The sequence below is a fragment of the Homo sapiens genome, chromosome 9 (assembly GCF_000001405.40).
Source record: "Homo sapiens chromosome 9, GRCh38.p14 Primary Assembly".
Lineage (NCBI taxonomy): Eukaryota > Metazoa > Chordata > Mammalia > Primates > Hominidae > Homo > Homo sapiens.
In genome coordinates this window covers 123,664,373-123,687,549 of record NC_000009.12, presented here as the reverse complement: position 1 = coordinate 123,687,549, position 23,177 = coordinate 123,664,373, and the positions used below count along the sequence as shown (strand labels likewise).

At 40.9% G+C, this 23,177-nt stretch overlaps 1 protein-coding gene across 41 annotated transcripts in view, besides 2 other annotated features; it reads left to right on the top strand.

Annotated features, from left to right (window-relative positions):
* The window catches only part of DENND1A (DENN domain containing 1A), a 550,469-nt gene that overhangs the window by 242,577 nt on the left and 284,715 nt on the right, over window positions 1-23,177 (top strand). For all 41 annotated transcript variants that reach the window (XR_007061334.1, XR_007061335.1, NR_148208.2 and 38 more), the window contains 3 exons: window positions 10,761-10,830; window positions 16,179-16,259; window positions 20,471-20,524. Coding sequence is in view for 38 of the 41 variants with exons in the window: in NM_001352965.2 (NP_001339894.1) it covers window positions 10,761-10,830; window positions 16,179-16,259; window positions 20,471-20,524 (205 nt within the window). In the remaining 3 variants the exon portion in view is untranslated. The remainder of the gene's footprint in view (window positions 1-10,760; window positions 10,831-16,178; window positions 16,260-20,470; window positions 20,525-23,177) is intronic.
* Window positions 2,659-2,708: an enhancer, noted in NCBI's record as "active region_28946". NCBI's record gives its function as "activates an Ori minimal core promoter by ATAC-STARR-seq in GM12878 lymphoblastoid cells {active_cell/tissue: GM12878}" and the evidence as "EXISTENCE:reporter gene assay evidence [ECO:0000049][PMID:35858748]".
* Window positions 7,950-8,029: an enhancer, noted in NCBI's record as "active region_28945". NCBI's record gives its function as "activates an Ori minimal core promoter by ATAC-STARR-seq in GM12878 lymphoblastoid cells {active_cell/tissue: GM12878}" and the evidence as "EXISTENCE:reporter gene assay evidence [ECO:0000049][PMID:35858748]".

Below are 23,177 nucleotides of genomic sequence, written 5' to 3'. Positions count from 1 at the left end.
GAACAATCTCTGGCCTTATCGCTTATTTTAATGTTCCTTGCACAGGGTCATTCTTGGATGTGGTGCTCTGGGCAATCTCACCCCAGAATGCTTCCCTTCCTTTATTTAACCTCTGACCTGTGGAAACAAGAGTTAATCAAGAGTTCTAAGGTAGCTAAGAGGAAGGGGAAGTGTTTGGTTACAAATTAAATATGAACAAGTCATAAGTCATAAATCCCCAGTAGTGCCACCAGTTGTGTGTCTCAAGTTGCATATGGTACAGAGTGTTTGGGTTATAAATTCAAGTTCAGAGCTCTCTGATCGCTGGGGGGGTAGGTGCGAGGTTCATTTTATTTTGGGCTAAAACTCTGCCTCCTAAAACATTACTTTTATTGGACTAGCTTCATTCATATCCTACTTTCTCTGTGTGCCCGTCTCTCCTTCTTCCTTTCTTTACCTGCCTGCCTGCTTGTGTTGATTGGTGTGCTGTTCTGTGAATTGAGACAGAACTGCTTCCCTGAAAGAAGTTAAGCATATGGAAAAAGTTGCCAAGGAAAGGCATTGAAGCATAGAGCGTAAATGGGTTTAAGAGACAGCCAGACACTTTTATAGAGAGATTTGCGATTGAATGATATAACATTCAAGCAGAGATCTGGGGTGGAAATGAACTTAAATGAGTACTATTTGTGGAAAGCTGATGCCCTGTCTAATCTAGCATTTCCTTAATTGTCACCATAAGCATACATTTAAAGCTTTATACTTTAAATTAAAAAAGGCAACACAGTCTGTTTAAGAATCTAAGACATAGGCCATAGTTTTTCTAGAAAAAGTTCTTAAAAATATGCATTTAGGGTATAGCAGAGGCACTGGGTCTTGACACGAAACACTGGAAACTTAAAATACTCTTCTGCTGTGTTTGATTAAAACATTTTAAATTGAGCTATTTATATTTGTGTTTCTGAATATAACATGTACACTAATTCCTGAAGCAATAAAGAGCTGACACATGACTAGTGTCCCTGGAGCTGGCAAAGTAAGAAAACACGCTGAATTGTTGGGAGGCAGCCAGAGTTAGATTGCTCAGAACACTTGGAGCCGAGGGGCTTTTGGAGGCAAGCTTTCCTTTATCTTATCAAGCACTACAGTGAGAACCACAAGGTAAGGATTTTATATCCTAATCTCAGGATTTATCATTGTACGTGATCATACTACTATTGTACTGTTTAGAGCAGGTCAGACTGAGAAATCATGCTGGACTGGTTTTGTGTCTGATCTGTGGTTTTAGTAGCTGTGTCATCTTAGGGAAATTACTTCATTTCTCTACGACTCAATTTTCTCATCTGTAAAATGGGATAATTCATCTCACAGAGTTATGAAGAGTAATATTTCAAAGCACCTAACACTTGATACCTAGTTTCCCCCCTTACTGCATTAGCTTCTACTCTCTAGCCCTAAAATGAGGTTAATATCAAATGGCATCTGACTGGGATCATTGATTTTTTTGTTTATTACTGCAAGTAGGACACGGATCCTCATGTAGCCATTTCTTCCTTTTGTTGTGTTTTTTTTTTTTCTAGTAGAGACAGTGTATTTCCTAGGCTATGAAAGCTCCAGTAGGGTGGGCCTTAGTTAGAACCTCACTAACCCATTACATTATATTACAGTAGTAATTTAAACCATAAAATAAGATACTCTGAATGGGGAAAGTCTTGCAGGTGTGTGAATACAGGAGTAGGCAGCATCATAAACTCTCCTAGGAAAATGATGAAAGGCCTATGTGCTCACCCTGCCTGGGCTCAATGGAAAATATTGAGAATTACACTGAATTGTCAGTGCAGGTGCCATTATTCCAAAGATCTCATGTTACCAACACTTCACCGGTGATAACAGAAAAGTGCCTCTGTGCTTTCCTCCTGAGCAATCTCCTTCAATCAAAGTAATACTCTCATAGAAATAAGATGACAAAGCCACTCTCTAAAAGCAACAATTATTGAATGCCCATCAAGAAAGAAAAGAGCCTTGTTTCCAAAATCAAATCCAAGTGTATGTTTGGGTAGATTTATATAAGCACAGATGTTTTATGGGAGTTTTTGGTGTTTCTTCATAATGCAAATTAATATTTCTACTCATTCAGTACATATATTTTCCTGCATAGATATAATAGGTATCACAATGGGACATTAATTATGGACATAAATCAGAGATTCTTGAGCTTAACTAAATATCGTAATCAATTTACAGTTTGAGATTAGCAGCTGTGAGCAAAGCAGAATGCCCAGACTGGGTGAGACTGGCTTAGAGCTCCCAAAGAGGATTGTGTTTTTCTCTTATTGAGGTTGCTTTGACTTTTGATGTTATCAAAGAGTACGGTATTATCAGGGTGAAACAAATTGTACTCAGTTTCAGGCACTGTGATAGGTGCATTTACATATGTTTCAGCCTCAAAAGAACCATGTGAGGGTAGATATTCCCATTTCACATGTAGGGAAGGAAGAGCATGGCTCAGGCCACAGCCAGTAAGTAACAGAGCTGGTACTCAAACCCAGGTGGGTCTCCTGACTTTGCAATCAGTGTCAAGCTGATCAGTGAGGTGTCACTTCCTCTTGGAAGACTTTCTAGAATCTCTTCTGTGTTCCCTTTGTGAACCTCTATCAAAGCACTGACCCAGTGCTGCTGACATTATCTGCCAGTGTGTCTGCTTTCCTCTTTAGACTGTGAGCTCCCCAGATACTGAGACATGGGCCTTATTCCCCCATGTACCTAGCAGAGGGCCAGGCATATACTGGTGGGTCTTAATAAGCATGGGAAAATATGTGGGTAGATGCCATTGATGGAACATTTGAAAAATGAATCATCTAGAAATGTGTGATGTTTGGACTGGAAACGTCTCAGTTTTAAATTCTGTAAAAATGTTCATTGAAGCTAAATGTGGTTATCTCAGGAAGATGAGGTGTGCTTTTCCCTTAGGGAGGAACCACATATAACCTTGGTGCTAAGGTTGTGGTTTGAGAATCATAGACCAGCACACATGAGTGATTTCTGTTGTGCTTAAAGGTGGGAATGCTTGCTGGCTGAGTATAATAGGGGAGAAGATGTGTCTTACAGAAGGCAGTGCAGTTGGGCTCTGGGGTCTTTCCTCCTTCTCACCTCGAGTTAGGAGGGAGAGGGAAAGGAATGAGAAGTATAGGAGTGGAAGAGCTCATGTGAAAGCTTTTCTCTTTGGTGCGTTTGGAGAGAAGAGTATCTTCTGAAGAGAGGGACAGAAGAGGAAAAATGTTTGGAGCAGACTGGAGGGGGTGGGCAACAGGAGGCCTGTGGCACTGCAGATTAGAGGATTCTTGAACAATTTTAAGGGTTCACGTGTGCTTGAAAAATTAGGTTTTCAGATGATTGTCATCAGCCTGGTTTTGTGAACTTTTTACATAGCAATTGAAATGGGAACAAAAAGAGTAGATGGTGGGGTTTACTTGTGTTGAGGAGATGGGCAAAGGGCAAGAAATCTTGTTTGTAAGTATTCCTTGATCTACTTTGAATAATCACTTGCTCTATACTCATTATTTATCCCAGACTCCAGCAGGACATTTGCAGGAATTGTTTTTTAAAAACCAGGTCATTTTCCAAACCCAAATGCTGCCTGCTAAATTTGGATCCCCACGTCCCGACTAGAGTTGGTTGACTGTTACTCTGTAGCTCTAGTGGTAATTAATGGCCTTAATAGAACCTATAGAGATGAGTTACGTCTGTCAAGGTAAGCTATGATTTATTGAATGTCTCACATGTGCCAGGAATAATTAGGGGTTAAATAGTCAATACACAGTCACCGTCCTTGATCTCATGGAGTTGACACCAATGGAGAAGACAGGCAAACAAGCACGTATTATAAACGATGGGGAGTTTTAATGTCTAGTAAGCCCAGGAGGTCTTCATATTCTGGGAATAAAATGCATCAATTTAAATGGGGACCAAAAGCTCATAGTAAAAATGAGGAAAAGGTTAGGATTTTATCTAGAAAAAGTATAAAAAAGTATAAATTTACCTCAACAAACTCTGTCTCTTAATTCCAACAATGCAGTAATTCTTAGAAAGAATAATGCATCAAGTATTGTGGGGAGAGGAGGTTATAATTTTTCTGACTTAATAACAGTTCATAGTTGACTTTCACAGCATAATCATAAAAGGAGTCATTTTTTTCCAAAAGTATTTGAGGACTTCAGTTTCCCGAAGGTCTCTTTTATCCTTTCATATTGAAATCATTTTCTTTTGATGTGACTGTTGTGTTACTATCCTTGTTTTTCTTGATTTTTCTCTTCATGTCTTGTTAAGTGGTCTAATACAGCCAGGTCTTCATTTGTCAGTGACTTTGCCTCAACTCTGTGCAGGTATCCAGCATGTCCAACATGGGCTTCATAAAATCCAGTCTCCTTTGCAAGAGTTGTAGTTTTAGTTCATGGCAAATTTGCATTTTATTATAGATGTTTGGCTGAGATACAGACAGAGGAGCAGGGATAGATGCTAGGTGAAACTTGAAAGGGTGGATAGGGGACGTATTGTCTGGAAACTGGAAGGGTGGAGAAGGGTCATGTTGTTTGAAGCAGTCACATTGTTGGTGAGTATTTTCCTCTTATAAGAGCTTCTGTTTTCCTGCCCATTCTGGTTGACCACATGGTATGAGGAATTTCTGTAGAATTCTGGAGGAGCCTCTGACCCAGACACCAGGAATCAAAGAGAGATTCCCAAAGCTGAGATTGCCAAGGGGGACAGGAAGCGTGTTCTGGATTGGTGGCTGTCATGTCCATCAGGTACATTAGCAGGTGGTGTATATCTTTTCATAGAGGAGGAAACTGAGTTTTGGGAAGACCGCTTTCTCGAGGTGTCACATCTAGAAAGGAGCAGAACTAAGATTCAAACTCGGGGTTACCAGACTCAAGCCAGTGTTCTCCCCAGCATGTGCCATGCTGCTCTGCTTTTTAACATTGGGGAGGAGGTTTTTTTGTTTTGTTCTGTTTTGTTTTAATAGGAAGGCTTTAAATATTGAGTGCTGAATGGTCTTAACCAAGGGATGCTTTGCCATTGGAAACACGTTGGCAAAATCTGCTGACAGAAAGAAAGGGATACCTCTCCTCAGGTATTCAACATGGAATGTCAGGAGCTCCTCAGACAGTAGCAAGTCACCAAAAGCAACTGAAAGACCCTGTGTCATGTTACTTTTAAACTCATCAGTCCCGACATGAACACAAGCAGCTCTGCCGCAAGTCTTCCCCCGGGAGGCACTGCTTCATTGTATCATCTATTCTAATGGTGCCTGAGTGTTACATCCTAAAATTTTATTGCAAATTACTTTTATTTTTATTTCTCTTTTATAGGAGAGCCAGAGCATTATTTTGGTTTTGTGAATGACTAGATTACATTAAGATTTTGTTTTTAGGATAGCAAAGTAGATGCTGGTTCTGATAAGGCTGAAATCCACTGGGCTCTGCTGAGGTCAAGATGAGGGGAAAGAATTACTTCCCACCTGGTTCTAAAGCCATCGCTCATGCGCTTTCTTCTGCCTGTCATGCAGATTTTGTCAGTGGAAGCCCCTCCTCACTGGCTTTCGTGTCCTGTTGATATGTCCTGATCATGTGTTGAGCACTGCTATTTTTTTTTTTTTTTCCTAACCCAACACAGCATTTCCCAGCCCCAGCCCTGGAATCAGACATTTTTTTTCAAGGAGCCCAGGTTCCTATTACTGGAGAATAGTATTTAGAAACCAATATCTGGGCACTAAGTGTGCTCATTATAATTGGGATATCTCTGCTTCCAGGCCTTCTCAGTGACTAAAACTAGGGAAGGTATGTATGTACATAGATTTGTATTTCTATTTATTTTATCTGTCTCTACTTTCCTACCTGTCTACTGAACATCATGATGCCCCACAGTTACATTCAGTTCCAGTTTGACACCGTGGGGTTCATTCTCATTCTTTCCCTAACTGGATTTGTAACTCTCTTCTGATAGTAAGATACCTGGTTCCCATTATATATTTACCAGCTTGGTCAGTCTTGATCTGTTCCTTGTTTGTAACCAGTGGCCCTCTGCTGCAGCCCCCTTCCTACACAGCGCCACCCTCCTCACCCTGTTTTTACAGTAGCATGTGCTACTGTTTGAACTGTGGCACCTTAGGCAGAGCTGCTGCTGCCCCTTCCTATCACGGACAGCATTCTCAACCACATGGACTCTGCCTCGCCTCCCTCCCCTCCCCCGACCCCCACTTTGGTGGAAGCCCTCCCACCCCTCAGGCTCTGACATCCCACATTGAACTGCCTTCCAGATGTTCTTTGTACTCTTCTGGGTTCTAATACCATTGCTGGTCAGGCCCTCCACTCCACATAGATGCTGTCTTTATCCCATGCCAGGTCTAACCCCTCCTTGCCCCCTTGAGTCATGAAACTCCAAGTCAGGCCTCCCCCATGAGACTCCCTCCTCATCCTGCTCAGACGCTGACTTTCCCTTACTAGGCCCCTCACTCTGCTTGGGCCCCAGCACACTATGCCCAATGACCCCTCAGTGGGACACCCTTCTCCTCCCACTTGGACTCTAACACCAGGTTGCCCCTTCGGGAGGACAGCTTCCTCCCCTCACCTGAGTCTGATGTCCTGCTGTGGACCAGCATTCTCCCAGGTGGTTGCTGCCTTCCTCGACTTGGTCAGCCTCTCCCACCATCCCTGTCCCCTGCTCTCTTCCATACCTACCTTGCCTGGTCCCATCTCATAGCTTTGAACTGAACTAGTAGAAAGAGGTGTCGGAGAGCTCTTAAAATTTTTTAATGGTTTTCTGTTTTAATACTTAAAGAAGTGGAATCCCTTTATATTCACGCTGAACTTACACAAGGCCAGTCATCCACGTGTACACAAACTCACCAGTTGGAGTGATTATCATCCCAAGTGGAGTGAGATTAGAAAAGGCAGTCCTCTGCTCTCAGTTCAGCTCAAGAGCCAGCAGCTCACCCGGTCGACAGATTTAGATGCAGGATGCTGTCATTCAGCCTGACCCCACAACTCAGGTTAACTACTTTGTGTTTACACAGACCATGTCCGCCATATTTGGAGGTAATTTAAGGGCTTTTTCAGGGTGATTTTGACTATGGGCTGTTGCTGCCATAAGTGCTGTCTTTAGAACCTGCCCTTGCCCTCCTTACAAGGGCCGGTGGGACCCCGGATCGGGAAGGCAGTGGGTGGAGGAAACTTCTCAAGTTTAAAACTTATTACCTCATATGAAACACAAGCCTCTCCATTTGACTCTCAGGCCTGGGAGTGAGGGTAGAGCCTGGGACAGAGTTACCTGAGCCACAGTGGGTGAGAAGGGAGAGAAGCCTGGATCCAGGCAGGTGCCTGGGGAGCAGGCTGTTCCTTTTCGCTTTTCTCTGTCTTCTGATTGGGTCATGATGATGCTCCATGATCATCTTCTACATCAGTCCGAAAGCCTAAACTAAATAAAGCACTTGGGAAGGACTTCCAGCTCCTTCCACCCAAACTGTTACTCTGTTGTGGGTGTGTCTCTTTCTGATGAGGACCATAGCTTTCTTGAGTGCAGGAGGACCCTTTGTGCCACAGCCTTGGACAGAGCCCACCATAGTCCCAACTGTGGTACTCCGCAGTGGGGACTCAAGCCGTCACACAAAGGCAGCAGGCAGAGGCGGACCACGGATGGTCGCACCCCGTTAGATGTCCAAGGTGGTGCAGTGTACTAGAGTGTTTGTTTCTGTCTTTGGACTGGGAAGGATTGTTTATTCAATGATGACAGACACACGCAGACTGGAGTGCAGGGTCCCTGCAGCCTCACCTGCAGCCTAGCAGGCCGCGCAAGCTGTTGTGGCGGCTCTAATGAAGCAGGACAGGAAACGCCGCTGGATAGAGCTCCGCTGTGAACCCTGGCCTCCCAACAGGGGAAAACAGGGGCCCTTTGAAGAAGAAGACAGCTGGGTTTCGGTTTCAAAACCTTAACACTGCCATCACTAGATATTCATCTGTGAGTGTACAGGGGACAACATGTGGGGAACAGTTGTGTCCGGTCAGGCCAAAGGGAGAAAGAAATGGCTGATTTCCAGGGTAACTGCAAAACTTCTTGTGGCCAGTGGTTCTGCTTAGCATAGCCAAAAAGAATTGACTTGGTGAGGCTGAGGCTGAGGCTGAGGCTGAGTGTGAGAACCAGGGTGCCATCTATAGTAGGCTAGGAGCTCCTTCCCACGTCACCTCCTTCATCCTCACAGCAGGTGACAACTTGGAGGCTGGAGCTTCTGTGCCCAAGCCACATTGGTCAGTTGAACCTACTCATCCAAAACTACTTCGATGGATTCTGTAGTCCTAAACTGTCAGAGCACCCAGCCTGCCCCATATCACTTCACCAAATATTTCTAAAATGATTCAGTTTTTCTCTTGTTTACTTGAAGTCACAGTTTTCTTGCAAGATTCTACTTCCCCTTCTTGCCTTTTCCCCCCTGCCTCCTGACTTTCAGTGGCTGGATTTAACTAGTGGTATTTTGCTTTCAGGAAAAAAAAAATTTGTAATCCTTGGTCAAATTTGTTTACTGAGTCGTCTAATCTGTGCAAGAGTTTTCTTCTGAGGGGATTTCTCGTTCATACTATAATGGCTTTTAACTCGGCCGAGGTTTATTTAACAGAATAGGAAAGGAGAAACTTATCTGCTCCCTAATCCCTCTTGAATGTTTACATTACTCTGCCAAAGTAAATGCTGTGCAAAGTGGCAGCAGTCATTTGCTATGTAATAGTCAATATGCAGCTGCCAGGGCTGATTGAAACATATTAACATAAGTGATAATACTGTCATAGAAGTGAAAAGTTAAGTTGCTTATCAGTATATTTTGATAAGCTACTTAAATTTTACAGTAGCATGTGCTGGCTTTAGACAGACGTTAATGACAGAGGACTGTGCACTTTATCTGTTCTCTTTGTTGCCTCTCACTTCATTTATTACCCTCAGTGGCGCAGCCGGTAATCTGTACAGGGTGCTGATTCCCCTCTCCCTGGCAGGATATCACATCTGTGCGCTACCTCGTGTCCATATCTGTCGGTATTGGACTCTGTTAGCACAGCAGGGCAGACATGACCAGGCCGGCAAGCGCTTGGTACAACCTTCTTCTCGCTTGCTGTTAGATGTAGCTTTGGAAAATTTCCTTCTAGAGAACAAAGCCGTTGAAAGTAAGTGGCAAAACTGCTTGGGGGTGTGGATACTTTTCAACAATTCCATAGGATGCGTGCACCCTTGCCGTCAGTCTTTGTCTGGCTTTATTTGCTCAGTAAACGCTGAGCACTGACGGTGTGCCAGGTGCCATTCTTGGCACCGGAAAGACAAAGTGAAGAAAGATAGGCCCCTTCCTCTCTGTTTGCATGTGGTCTGTTGAGAAAACAGACATGCCATTGAGGACTGCATCATGTGGGGAATGTTCTGAGAGCAGCATTCTCATGACCAGGGCAGCACAGAAAAGAGAGAATTAGGGCACATGAAGTGGGGATGGGGAGGGGGTGAGGGACAGTTAGGAGGATGAGTAGAAATCAGCTAGACTAGACCCACAGAGGTCTGGGAGAAAAGGGCCCAGTGTATGTAAGCCCAGGCAGGCTCAAAGATACCAGGACGTTCCGGAGTGAGAGGAGTGAGGGGAGCATATCTATGAGGAAGTAGACAGAGGACAACCAGAAAAGTGGGCAAGGGCCTGGCAGTGAAGAGCCCCAGAAGTCCATCCTAACAAATGTGGACTGGATCCTGGAGTGACGGACATCATTGCAGCAATTAAGTACAATGTGCGATGGAGATTTGCATTTTAGAAAAACCATTCTAAGAGCCGTGGCCAGGTGGCTCACGCCTATAATCCCAGCAGTTTGGGAGGCCGAGGCAGGCAGATAACCTGAGTTCAGGAGTTCGAGACCAGCCTGGCCAGTATGGTGAAACCCCGTCTCTATTAAAAATACAAAAATTAGCCAGGCATGGTGGCGCACACCTGTAGTCCCAGCTACTCAGAAGGCTGAGGCAGGAGAATCACTTGAACCAGGGAGGCAGGGGTTGCAGTGAGCCGAGATCATGCCACTGCACTCCGGCCTGGGTGACAGAGTGAGACTCCATCTCAAAACAAACAAACAAACAAACAAAAAACAAGCCACACAGAGTGGACCACAGGACTGAGGTCAGCAGCCAGTCTGCTCTGAGTGAAGGGGAGCAATGGCCAGGACCTGGTGGAGGGCAGTGGGGATGGGGAAGTGGAACTCATCTTGAAGTAGATAGAGAGATGGTGTGTGATGGGTAGAATGTCTGTTGCAGCAACATGGATGGCTTTGGGCTCATGGGGGCATTGGGACCCTTTGCAGATGCCTGCAGTGGGAATGCTGTGTGTGTGTCAGTGTGTGTGTCTGTGTCTGTGTCTGTCCCATCATGAGAAACTGAATAGAAGCTTTCCTGGAAAGGGTGGGTGTGCTGGGAGAGGCCAGGGGACTTCTCAGAGATGGTGCCTGATTGTGGAGTCGGCTTTGAATTTCTTCTCTGTGAACTGTTCTAGCTCTGAGGCATGGGAATAATTTATAATGGACATTTAATCCTCTGCCTTGCACAGGCAATTTTTTAAACTCTCAGAAATAATTAGCATTTCGCCAGTTTGTGTTTCCACCAGTCTGTGACAGGAAGACTCTTCAGGATGTAGAGCAAAACTGAAATGTATCAGTCTTGAATTAGATCCTGGTTAAAGTTTTTGACCTGCATACTAATATTTCATGTGTTTCCTCTTCTTCCTCCAGCTATCTCCCCTGGTTCGAGGTATTTTATAAGCTGCTTAACATCCTGGCAGATTACACGACAAAAAGACAGGTATTTACCTTTTTAAAATAATTCTTTTAAACAAATAAGCTTTAATTTTTATGATGAAAAAGTAAAACATGCCTTATATTTTACCAAAAAAGTGATGCATGCCCATTATAGGAATTTTGGGAAATTCAGAAAATAATAGGAAGGAAAAGAAAATCACTTTTAATTTGCCCCACTCCCTTCCCTAAAATAAATATTCCTAGCATTTTGGGTTGTTTTCTTTTTTAAGTTTTTCTTTGCATTAAAGAAATGATAAATAGACCCTTAACGTTCACAGAGTTAATGTTCAATTTCTAATATTCCCAAGCAGCCCGGAAAGTTTGTGACATGTATTAAATTATAATTTTGCTGAGGCACATATCTGAATTGCTCATGTCATGCTGCAGATCTGGGGTTTGCAAGTAAAACACTTAACCAGCAAGTGACCTACCCAGCTGTCCTGAGTTCCCATTTCAATAAAGCTTTGTGGTGCTTTTACAGTAACTTTTGTAGGGGTCTGAAAATGACGTTAAAAATTCATCTGTACCTTGCTGTACTTTTGGAAGAAGTGGTAAGGTAAGGTATCTTCCATGGATGTCAAAGGCCAGTTGGACCTTTATGTAGATTTTTGTAGCCCACATTTTCAGATACCATTATAATGAGCATGCCTCCCACACTATTAAAAATGTTATAAATATTTTTCATGGCTGCATAGCATTTTGTCATGTACCTTGATTTACCAAAGCATTTTCCTATTATTGGAAATTGTTAATTGTTTGGGATTTTTCTACTGTTATGAGAAGTGTAACCATTCGCATCTATGAGGGTAAAGCATTTTCTTCATTTTGGATTGTTTCCTTAAAAGGAGAATCCCAGATGGGCCACTGTAAGATCAGTGGACATAAACATTTTTAAAACATTTGTCAAACTGCTTTCCAAAATAATTCTGCTGTTTTCTTAAAGGATACCCTTTACCAGCAATGTAAGAGAGTGCCTGGGTCACGATACTCTCATCAGGATCATTTGTTGAATTTGTTGTTTGACAAGTAAAAAAGTCTCATTGTTTTAATTGCATTTCTTTGATTATTAATGAGTTGGATATTTGTCTATATATCTAATGTCTTATATTTTTCTTTTTGTAAATGGCCTAAGATTTTTAATTAAAGTGATCCATTATTATTAAACGTTAAGGAAAAATTTCCCTTAATTTTTTTCTGTTGAACGTTCTGAGCAATTTGAGTGTTAGTTCTGAGAAATGGTCCATGAAAAGGGTGCCAGTTCAGCCACACTGGGGTCCAGGGAAGGGAAAGCTGTGTTTCATTTTCATCTCCTTAAGATTCATTTAATGTAAGCTCTACGAAGTCTTGCATTGGAGAAACCTGGGTCGCCTGTGCTTCCCATCTTGTTTTGCCCCAAACCCCTTTAATTCTGTGATAAATCTTAGCATTCTGAGATAGCAGTGTTTCCTGGAACACACTTTGGGAAATGCTGTTTTGGAGGAAAGGGGGAAATTGTGTGTATAATGACTAAATCATTTTTTTAGAGATAGATTTACTCACTGGCAAATGTATTCCAGAGGTCACAGTAAATGGAAGGAATAACTAATAGAAACGGCTTCCTTGATCACTACACTCACTGTGAAAAGAAGCTTAGATGTCAGGGGATTCTGTCGTAAAAGAAGTGGATTACTCTTTGATGAATGAGTTAGGAGGTCACCTTGGGTCTGTTCATCTATTTCTGATTCACAGTTACCTTTAGTCAAACATTCAGGTTTTCACTCAAATTTGAAAGGTGTCTTTAATAAACAGAATTGTATAATATGTAGGCTCTTAACAGGTTTGAATTGGAGATTGACTCACATTTTTTCCCTCCATATGTTCCAGTCCAAAAAAAAAAAAAAAAGAGAAAAAAACTCAGCAAAACAAAGAACTTAGTACACTTTTTAAAACATGTGATTTGGGAAAGATTATAAAAGGGTAGGTACAACCTACACATATGGGAGATTGGATTATTACCGTGTAAAACTGGTGAACCTTTCCTCTGGGCGATTGCTTCAGCAGGACTCTGCCTCTTGGGATGTCGGACTGAGATCAGTAACATGTTTTAGTTGGAGTCTGTTTCTCTTGAACCCAGGACTCTTTTCTTCCCCCTTTGGTTAAAAGAATTATGACACAGATGATAGGAAATCTGCCTGTAATTGGCTTAATTGTTTGCAAGGTTTTAGTCACCAGATTAGAACAGGAAGAGATTTTTTATTTAAAGAAATAGAATCTACCTCCTGCCCCAGGGCTGAAACCTTCTCTCATCCAAAAGTCATTGGGAAGGTTGGGAAGCAAGATAGGCTTCTATTGTGTGTGTGTGTGTGTGTGTGTGTGTGTGTGTGTGTGTGTGTGTGTGTGTGAGAGAGAGACAGAGACAGAGACAGAGAGATTGTGATGGCTAAGCATGGGGTGTGGGAGACCAAGGTGTGAGTAACTGGGATATCTGTTTGGGCCATGGACCCATCATGCTCATCAGACCTTGAATGGGCACCCTTGTGGAAGGGATGGCAGGGCAAGGCAGGCATCTGAGCCAGGGAGCAGCCTGCCTCAGGGTGTCGGAGCCTGAGGGAGAGAAGGATGTTTATGTGGGAGCATGGTGGTAGAGGCTCAGCATGGGATGTCAGAACTCAAATAGGATCTAGAAGAATCCATGTGAGAAGGGAGGCAGCAGCTGTGGCCCAGTGCTGGTGTGTTGGATCCTGAGGTAAGGAAGGCATTTGTGTGAGGGGTTGGGCAGTAGAGGCCCAGCCCTGGATGTCAGTGTTGGGGAGGGAAGGGAGGGCATCTGGACAGGGAAGGAGGCAGGGATGGCAATAGAAGAGTGGTTCCATACAAATAACCAAATATAAAAAGAAAATACAGGCAAGGTTTTTCACTTTCGTAGGATGAAGTCACAGATATGTAGAGGGAGAAAACTAGAATAATTTCTATATTGGATTGGAATAGGAGCCATTGGTGTGAACCCATGGTTTTCAATATGGGAAGATGAATATAGAAATAAATAGAGATGTGAAGTGCCTATTGTGATTCCATGTGTGTGTTATATATTCCCTGGCTCAATTGACTGAAAGGGCCTGGCATGAGCAATACTAAGGAGCAGTGAGCACACATGGTGCCCAGATCTTGGTTTCTAAATACCATTGCCCACTAAAAGGAACCCAGTCTCATTGAAGAAATAACCTGATTCTGGGGCTGAGGCAGGGAAAGTATAAGATGAACCTGAAATATCTTTTCTGCCAAAAAGTAAGGAATTGCTAAAAACATGATCATGATGGGAACATGTCAGAAGGACACAAAAGCAGTAAGAGTGCTCCCTCTAGTCATATCTGGAACAATTTGAGCATCAAAACAAATTAGGATAGTAAAGGATTATGTCACACTGAATAAAACAGGAAACTATGGACCCATGGTAAAATAAATAAGTAAATGAATACATTGAAAGTTTGAGGAATGGGATATTTACACAAAGTGTGAATCCACAAAATGGTTATTTACTGCAAAGAGAAAGAATAATGTTACTGTAGAGATATCAAGTGAATTAATCAATTGATGAAAGCAAACATCATGAGTGAAGGGACATTGACATCAGACATTAGACAAAACATTAGACAATTGAAAGTTATTCTACAAAATGGGTGGTCTCATCGTCAAGGCCATACAAATCTAGAAAAGACTGAGGAGCTGTTCCAGACTGAGGATGAGTAGAGGGTTATAACTACTAACTGCAACATGTGATTCTGAAGTGGATTGTTTGCTGCCAAGGATATTATTGGCACAGTTGGCAAAACTTGAGGATAAGGTGGTAATTCTGCATCAGTGTTAATTTCCAGATTATTATGATTCTCTTAGTTTGTTTTCTGCTGCTATAACAGAATACCACAGACTGGGTAATTTATAAAGAAAAAAGATGTATTTGGCTCACAGTTCTGGAGGCTGGGAAGTCCAAGAGCCTGGTGCTGGCATCTGGTGAGGACCTTCTTGCTGGGTCATACCATGCGGTACTCAAGACAAGAGACACAAGTTAGGGGCCAAATTTATCCTTTATCAGAAGCCCACTCTCACAATAATGGCATTAATTCATGATGTACTCACTCTTAAAGGTCCTGCCTCTTAATACTGTTACAATGATATTTAAATTGTCAACACATGAACTTTTGGGGGAACCATTTAAACCACAGCAATAATTAATTGTGGTGATTTAGGAGAATGTCCTTGTTTGTATCTGTGGATGATGGGGCGTAATCTTGGCAGCTCATTCTCAAATAGGTCAGGAAATAATAAAAACTTTTTTTTTTCAACAATTTCTACAACTGTTCAGTAAGTTTGAGATTGTTTCAGAGCAAAACCAAACACATGCACACACACCCACAAGTTCATCTCTCTCCTCTCTGAGAAGCTTGTTTGATTTGTCAGAGCTCAGATTGAAACAAGCTTGTAGTCTGGGTGCATCTTCTTTTTCCTTTCGTTAAATTCACTACTTAAAGACAGCTGTAGTGAAGCCAGGAGGGCTCTGGAGCTTGCATTTCACCCTTTAGCTGTGCAACTTACTAAAGGGCTGATTTGAGACAAGTTGCTTCACCTTTTGGAGCCTCAGTTTTCACATTGTTGAAGTGGGTAGTTGGGAGGATCAAATAGAGGGTGAATAGATACAAATATACACTTATCAGTATTAGCACAAAGAATTCCACATGGTGGGAGAAATAGCATTTGGATAATTCTGTGAGCAGTGTTCTTTTGAGCATTTTAGAGGTGAATCCATTTTCAATCAAATAATTTGCATTGCTTTGTATGTCATCATGTTGCTCAATTTCACAAATTAGAATGCATAGCCACCATCCTATATTGCATGCTGTTGTACTTAGTTCATTTCTAACTTTCTATAATTGGAGGCTGCCATGTGTATCCGGTGAACACTCAATAAAATTAATTGAGGGTAATGATGATGAAGACAAGATCTATAGTGTCATCGTTATTTCTCCTAACCACCCCCGCCCTGTAAGCTAGGATTGTTTGCATTTAAAAGTTGTTGCTATGGAGTTTAGGGGATAGATTTGCTGAGAGCTTATGGTATATGATCCATAAAAGGCGGTCATGGTAGGTGTCTCACTGAGTAGAAAATGTCAAACTTGGTGTAGGAGGATCTATTTGGCTCTTTATGTTTGAGGCATACGTGGTGTCTTTTGTCAAACCCTACATGAATATCAAACCTATTTCTGTACTGGGGCCAGCATCTCCCCAGCCCCCTCAGTCATGTGTGCCCAGACCTCCCTGCAGGTATCTTACTAAGGGCTCAGCCTTGCTTTTGTTACTTAGGCCTTTTATTTCTTTCAGGAAAATCAGTGGAATGAGCTTCTTGAAACTCTGCACAAACTTCCCATCCCTGACCCAGGAGTGTCTGTCCATCTCAGCGTGGTAAGTGGGGCGGAGTATTAGCCATCACTGAAAACGCATTTCATTATTGACAGTAAGAGGGAGCTAGCTGAACAGGATTGTATTTTGTCAGCCATACCTCCCCTAACCCTACCCCCAAATACTCTGAGACCTCTGAGTTCAAGATAGGCCAGAGAGTAGAATTTCTTCCTTTCTCTGAGATTCTATAAGAAACAGACATGTCCTGAATGTCCCCACCCTCCTCTGTGGCCATCATCCCATCACCAGCATCTCTTGGATCACAGATGCTGGGCTGAAATAGGACAGCTGGCTCCGCCTGCTTCTTCAGTCCCTGTCCCAGCCTGCCTGTATCACCCTCGTCCCCCAGCACTGCTGTACATGTCCCTTTGCTGAAGCCCATCCTGTACCCTCAGCTTTCAACATTGCCTCTCCCCTGTTTGCCAGGGTAACACATATTCATCCTTCAGAACTCAACTCTGATTTTATTTCCAGAGAAATCCTCCCTTGATACCTCGTAGGTTTTGCTAAGATTACCTCCTTTGCTCGAAGCATCTTGCACACTTTGTGGTACTTAGTTACACCCTATTGGAATGATTCCTTTTCCTGTCCCCCTCACTGGACTGTGTGTCCCTTGAGGACAGAGCAGGAGAGTGCTTAATGTTGTTCCTGGCCTATAGTAATAGTTTCTTTGAATGCCTATAAATATATACTGCTATTACATGTTCTGCACTGTGCTCTGAAATACCAATTGGGAGATTTCCATCCTAGTCATTGTCTTGCCAATGACCTGAGTGATCTTAATCAGGACCTTTAACCTCGTGGGCTTCAATTTCCTCATCTGTCAGATAAGGCATCAGAAGAGGTGTGGGAGATCTTTTCCATATTTTGGTTCCAGGAATTCTCTAATTCCCTAGGTCAAACCCTCAAGCCCTTGTCACCACCTTCATCAGAATTCTCAGATGGACATACTTTGACCAAGTATTGATTATTATCCAGGAGCTATTTCCCTTATGTCATGGGGCCTGAAAATTTTAAGAGTTTTGTCTTTCATCTTCATTAGAACCAGGTACAGTGTTGGTATTCAGTGGTAGAAAGGTATCTCCCCTCCTAAAGAAAATTGATATTCCTTGTAGGTTTTTTCAAAATGATGATAAAATTGAAAGCAGTGTTACTACCAGTAATTAATAATAGATCTACTATTTTAATAAATTCCTAATTTATACTAAATATGTATCTCTAATATTCAAAACAAGTTTACAAAATAGATATTAACATTCCCATTTCATGGATGAGGTTTCAAGAGGAAAAGATACCTGCCCTTCCAAGGTCGTGTAGTTAATAAGAGATAAGACTTGAGTTTTCAAAGCCAGGGCTAACTTCAAGCCTATGGTCTTTCCACTGTGCCATTCGTGTGGAAGGAGAGGGAGAGAAGGAAGGAAGGAAGAAAAAATGAATTTACAGAGACTTTTGCCCATTTTAATAGAGCATAGGAAAGAAAGAAAGAAACCTTGTTACAAAAATTCTCATACGGCAGGGGAGACCATCTGGAAAAGATGAAAAAATGAGCTTTAAACCTGCCCCAGTCCTTGCTGTATAGCTAAGCAACCCTGCCTTTGTCTCTGTCCTTTTTCCTAAGCAGCTTGATCTCACCACTTCAGTCCGTAATGACATCCGACAGGTAGCTGTGGAGTAGCCTGGCTGGGTCACCAGCTGCTAGGGAGGAAGGTCCACTCCTTCCTTCAAATGGCTGCTCAGGCAGCATGCATGCCAGGCCTCAAGGACAAGCCATCTCAGGGGCAGCAGGAACTGCTGGGGTGGCGCAGCTGTTTCATGCCAGTGGTTTCTAGGAATGTTTCTGACCTCCCCTGGTCCCCAGCATTTCATGGGCAATGGAGCAAGACAGAATCTCAAAGGACAGCCTGGGGACTACTTGGTTTTGGAATTGTGTTGGCTCACTATTTACTATCAATTGCATCTGTAAAGGCAGATTTTTTTTTCTTTCCTTTTCACTGGGAATTCCTCTCTCCATATTGCATTTCTGATTGTGAAGGGCTACTCTCATCTAGGTTATACATCCTGAAATGTTGATAAAATGGTAATCCTGGACTTTTTGTCTCTAGTCACTCTCTGCAAGAGTATATTTCTGTGTGTCTGATATGAGTGATGGTAAAAATAGTAATATGAACTAGCAGTTCACAGCAATAATAATTTTGTATTAAAATACCATTTATTGAATGGTAAGCATTTCATATATATAACATTTATTCTTCATAACAGTTTTGAAGTAGATAATATGATTCCCATTTATAGATTCAAAAACAGGTTCTGTGCTATTAAGTGAATTTGCTGAGCTACATAATCACCACATGGCCATTTGTTACTCAACTAAACTTCTAGCCCTTTGGTATAGAAGTTGGTATCTCATGGAGTCATACTGGAACCTTGCATATTACTTTTCCTGTTTTAATCCTCACTGTTGAATTAATCACTAGTTCCCACGCTACACCGTCTCTACTGTAATACTTCATAGGTAGTATTTTGATATACACACAGATTTTGGAATAATGCATCGAAGAAGGCTTTTTTAAGTTATCTTTTTTATACTTTTTATTTTTTACTTTTTTATTTGTTCAAGCCCCTTTAGCTGTCATTTGCCATAAAAAGCACAGGTATAACAGTCTGTCATGGTGGAAAGAGCACAGCTCTAGTTACACAGATTTAGTTTTGGTCCATATTCTGCCACGTACTAGCTGTGTGACCTTTGACTGACTACTTGACCTCTGTGAGCATTAATTTACCCATTTGTAATATGGAGATAATATCTATCTCAAAATTTGTTGTGGGAATTAGAGATAACATTTACAGAGTACTAGACATAATGCCTTTCATGTAGCAGGTATTCAACAAATATCTGTTGATTATTAGACAAGTACCTTATACTATTATTGTTGTCACCATCATCATTACGATTGTCCCCAGGGCCTTTCATTTCAGAAAGCCTATACAACTCATTCTTCTACACACCTACCTATTTTGCAATCACCCAAGAGTGGGGGTTGGGGTGGATAACTTCCTGAAATGTCACTTGGGGGTCCAGATTTGAACTTAGGCCATGGCTACGCTGACCTTCTCTGCATGTGACCTTTCCTGGCCTTTGCACAATCCCATCTTTAATTGGCCGGCACCAAGCTCTTTCCGTTCCTGCTTGCCATTGTCTTCTGAGTCTTTAATAGCAGCAAAGGAGGTGCCATCAGTTCAGCCTGTTGTCATTTAATTCAGGGATGCATGCTTGTTGCATATGGAGATGCCTCATTGGACGTTCTTTGAAGAGGTCAATTTTTCAACTCCGCTGAGTCTCCAGTCAGGAGGCTTATGGTGGAGTGGGCTTCGGGGGCAGAATTTCTCCACTCTTAGTCATCGGCAATGGTCTCAGCTCCAGTGCTCCAGCAACTGGAACTCTTCCTAACATCACTTAGGCCTTTGGGGCAGATTTTGGCCACATTTTATAGATGAATATAATCTCAGATGCTGAAATGAGATGACAGGTTTGGTTGGTAAAAATAATCACTGAGTGAATCTGGTGATATTTTGTTCCTAGAATACACTTGCCTCACTGAACAATAAATTATGAAACCAACGCCTTTTTCATGTGTTTAGCCATTTAACTTCTTTGAACTATTTATGTATTTATTTAGAGACAGAGTTTCATTCTTGTCGCCCAGGCTGGAGTGCAGTGGCACAATCTCAGCTCACTGCAACCTCCACCTCCCGGGTTCAAACGATTCTCCTGCTTTAGCTTCCCGAGTGTCTGGGATTACAGGTGCCCGCCACCACACCTGGCTAATTTTTTTGTATTTTCAGTATAAACGGGGTTTCACCATGTTGGCCAGGCTGGTCTCGAACTCCTGACCTCATGTGATCTACCTGCCTTGGCCTCCCGAAATGCTGAGATTACAGGTGTGAGCCAACACTCCTGGCCTGAACTCTTCATTTATATCTCCTAAAGAAGTTCTCCTCTCATAGAAAAGAACTCCATCTACCAAAGTGATGATTTAATGCATCTGGTTCAATCTGACATTATCCAAAGAAAATATTCCATGGGTGTTTCTTCTGAGTGAAACCGTTTCCTTTTCTGAGTAAGGAAATATTTTCCAATCATTTACCTGAATTCTGAGTAATGCAATTGTTACACATTTTAGCAGAAATAAATCACTTTTGCTTTTCTTTTCTAGCATTCTTATTTTACTGTGCCTGATACCAGAGAACTTCCCAGCATACCTGAGAATGTAAGTACTTGGGAAGAAGAAAAAATTAAATTTTTATTCTTCTCTGTTTTCTGCCTATTTGTTTGAATAAATAAAGGATGTGATTTAAAAGTATCATTATAAAAATTATGGTTTTTAAAAAACACATTATAAAAACAAAAGTATAAGAACTGAAGTGTATTATAAAAACAAAAACAAATAGAGAATATTTGCAAAGTATAGAAAGTATAAAGACAAGGAAGGATTTTTATTCCTTTTTCTCAAAGGTAATTATGTATTAATATGATATTTGATTCCCTCTTTTTAGAATGTATTTTTACATAGTTAAATCACCTATTATAAAAACATCTTTTCCATTTTCATTCATATGACTTATTTTTGTCAACTATCTAATATTCCATTTACTCTGTAGTTTAGCCATTCTCTCACTGTAGAACATTTAGATTGTTTCTCATTTCTGCTTTTATAAGTGAAATGTTTCCATATAAAGAATTTTCCAAATAGAGGTTTATTAGGGTAGATCTACTCAAGCAGAATTACACTTCTACTTTTTACCTTTGTATATTTACCTTTCAGAGAATAAAATAAAGTATTTGTGGGTGAAGCATGAGGGCCTCCATCCCTACCTCCAAAGGATGTAGGAGCAGTGAACTAGAGTGTGAGAGAGCAGAAGGTTGATGTTTGCCTTCTGAACAAGCTGAATGACATATCTAGTCTAGCTGCATGACATGTTTTCAAAATGTTTTACTATGATTATAAATAGTACTATGTAGAATCAGATAAAGAATGTCTACCACTTAGACACTTGATTACTTTTTTAAAATTGTGGTAACAAATACATAACATAAAATTTACCATGTTAATCATTTTTAAGTGTACAGCTCAGTGGTTTTGAATGCATTCATATTTTGTACAGTCAATGTCCAGAACTTTTTGTATCTTACAAAACTGAAACTCTGTACTCATTAAGCAATTCCCCATTACCCTGTCTCCCCAACCCCTGGCAACCATCAATCTGCTTTCTGTCTCTGTGAATTTGACTGCTCTCCATATAGTACTTCACATAAGTGAAATCATACAATATTTGTCCTTTTGTTCTGAGTTATTTCACTTAGCATAATACCTTCAAAGTTCATCTGCATTGAAGCATGTGTCACAATTGCCTGCCTTTTTGAGGCTGAATGATATTCCATTGTAGGTGTAGACCACATTTTGCGTATCTGTTCATCCAGTGATAGATGCTGAGATCAATAGATATTGTTTTTACCCTTTGGCTATTATCAATATTACTGCTTTGAACATTGGCGTACAAATGCCTGTTTGAGTCTCTGCTTTCAATTCTTTTGGGGATATACTTGAATACTTGATAAGAAAAGTACTGGAATATGTGGTATACCTTTTCATAACTATTGTAGATTCACAGAAAGGAAATTTTTCCAAGTGTCGTCTATAGAACAGGTTACAAATGTCAGGTGATCAAATGTAATGAATGAAGTTAGGCTGTAGTATTGTGATTAGATAACAGTCTTGATAAGTTGGGATTATCAAGCATATCCATGTAGTATATTATCTGTATGATCAGACTGTGGTAGAAAATGTTGCATCCTTTTTTTTGACATTAACTAATAAAAAATTCAGACCAGAGTTCCCATTTCAACAACAATAGCTAATGTTGATTGAGTACTACTACTCGAAATATTATATATTTGGTGCTTTTCTCCATTTTCTCATTTAGCTCTCTCAACAAGCTTACATGGTAACTACCATAATTATTTAATATAAGGAAACAGAAGCCCTGAAAATTTAAGTCACATATTCAATATCCTACAGGAAATAAATGGTAAAATCAGAATTCAAATATTGGTCTTTCTGGATTCTTGAGACTGAGCTCTTACATAACATGCTATACTTTGAGCCTGTGATTTTTTACCTTTCATCTCTCAGAAAATTCCATTGAAATGATGAACGAAAGGAGAAAAATATTTCCCTAATGACAGAGGAAGCTACCATGAGCCAGAAAGTTTGGGAATTTACATAATATAAAGGAGATGATTACTGATAGTTGCAGTCAATTCAGTATAGACAGTGGAGAAATCCAAAAAGAAGTGGGAAAGTAATGCAGGAAGAGCAGAAGCAGAGGCATACTCTGGCTATGAAGGAGGCTACTGAAGGATTATTTTAAAATGCCATGGGACATTTATAAGAACTGATCATGTACTAAATCACACCAAAAATTTCAAAATAGAGCATACTAAACTCTTACAGGTCACTGTCTTTTATGGTGGTGAACGAAAACTATAATAATAAATTAATTAAAGGTTTAAAAATATTCATCTATTTGAAATAGCAGTTGGATCAAAGATGATACAAATTGAAATTAGTTATTATTTAGAAATTAATGACAATGAGGACACTAAACAAGTGCCTTAGGGATGTGGCCAAAACCACACTCTGGGGAAAATTCATAGCTTTGAATGCTTTTATATAAATAAAAAATTTAGAAAACAATGAACTTGACTTTCAAGAAGCTAAAAAAAAAGAATAGTAATAAATAACCAAAACTAGAAAAAGAAATTATAATTTAATTTATTAGGGAATATTGTTAAAGTAAAATTGAAAAATAGTAGTTTTTAAAAACTGAATTTGTGAAAAGAATAAAATTTTAAACTTATTC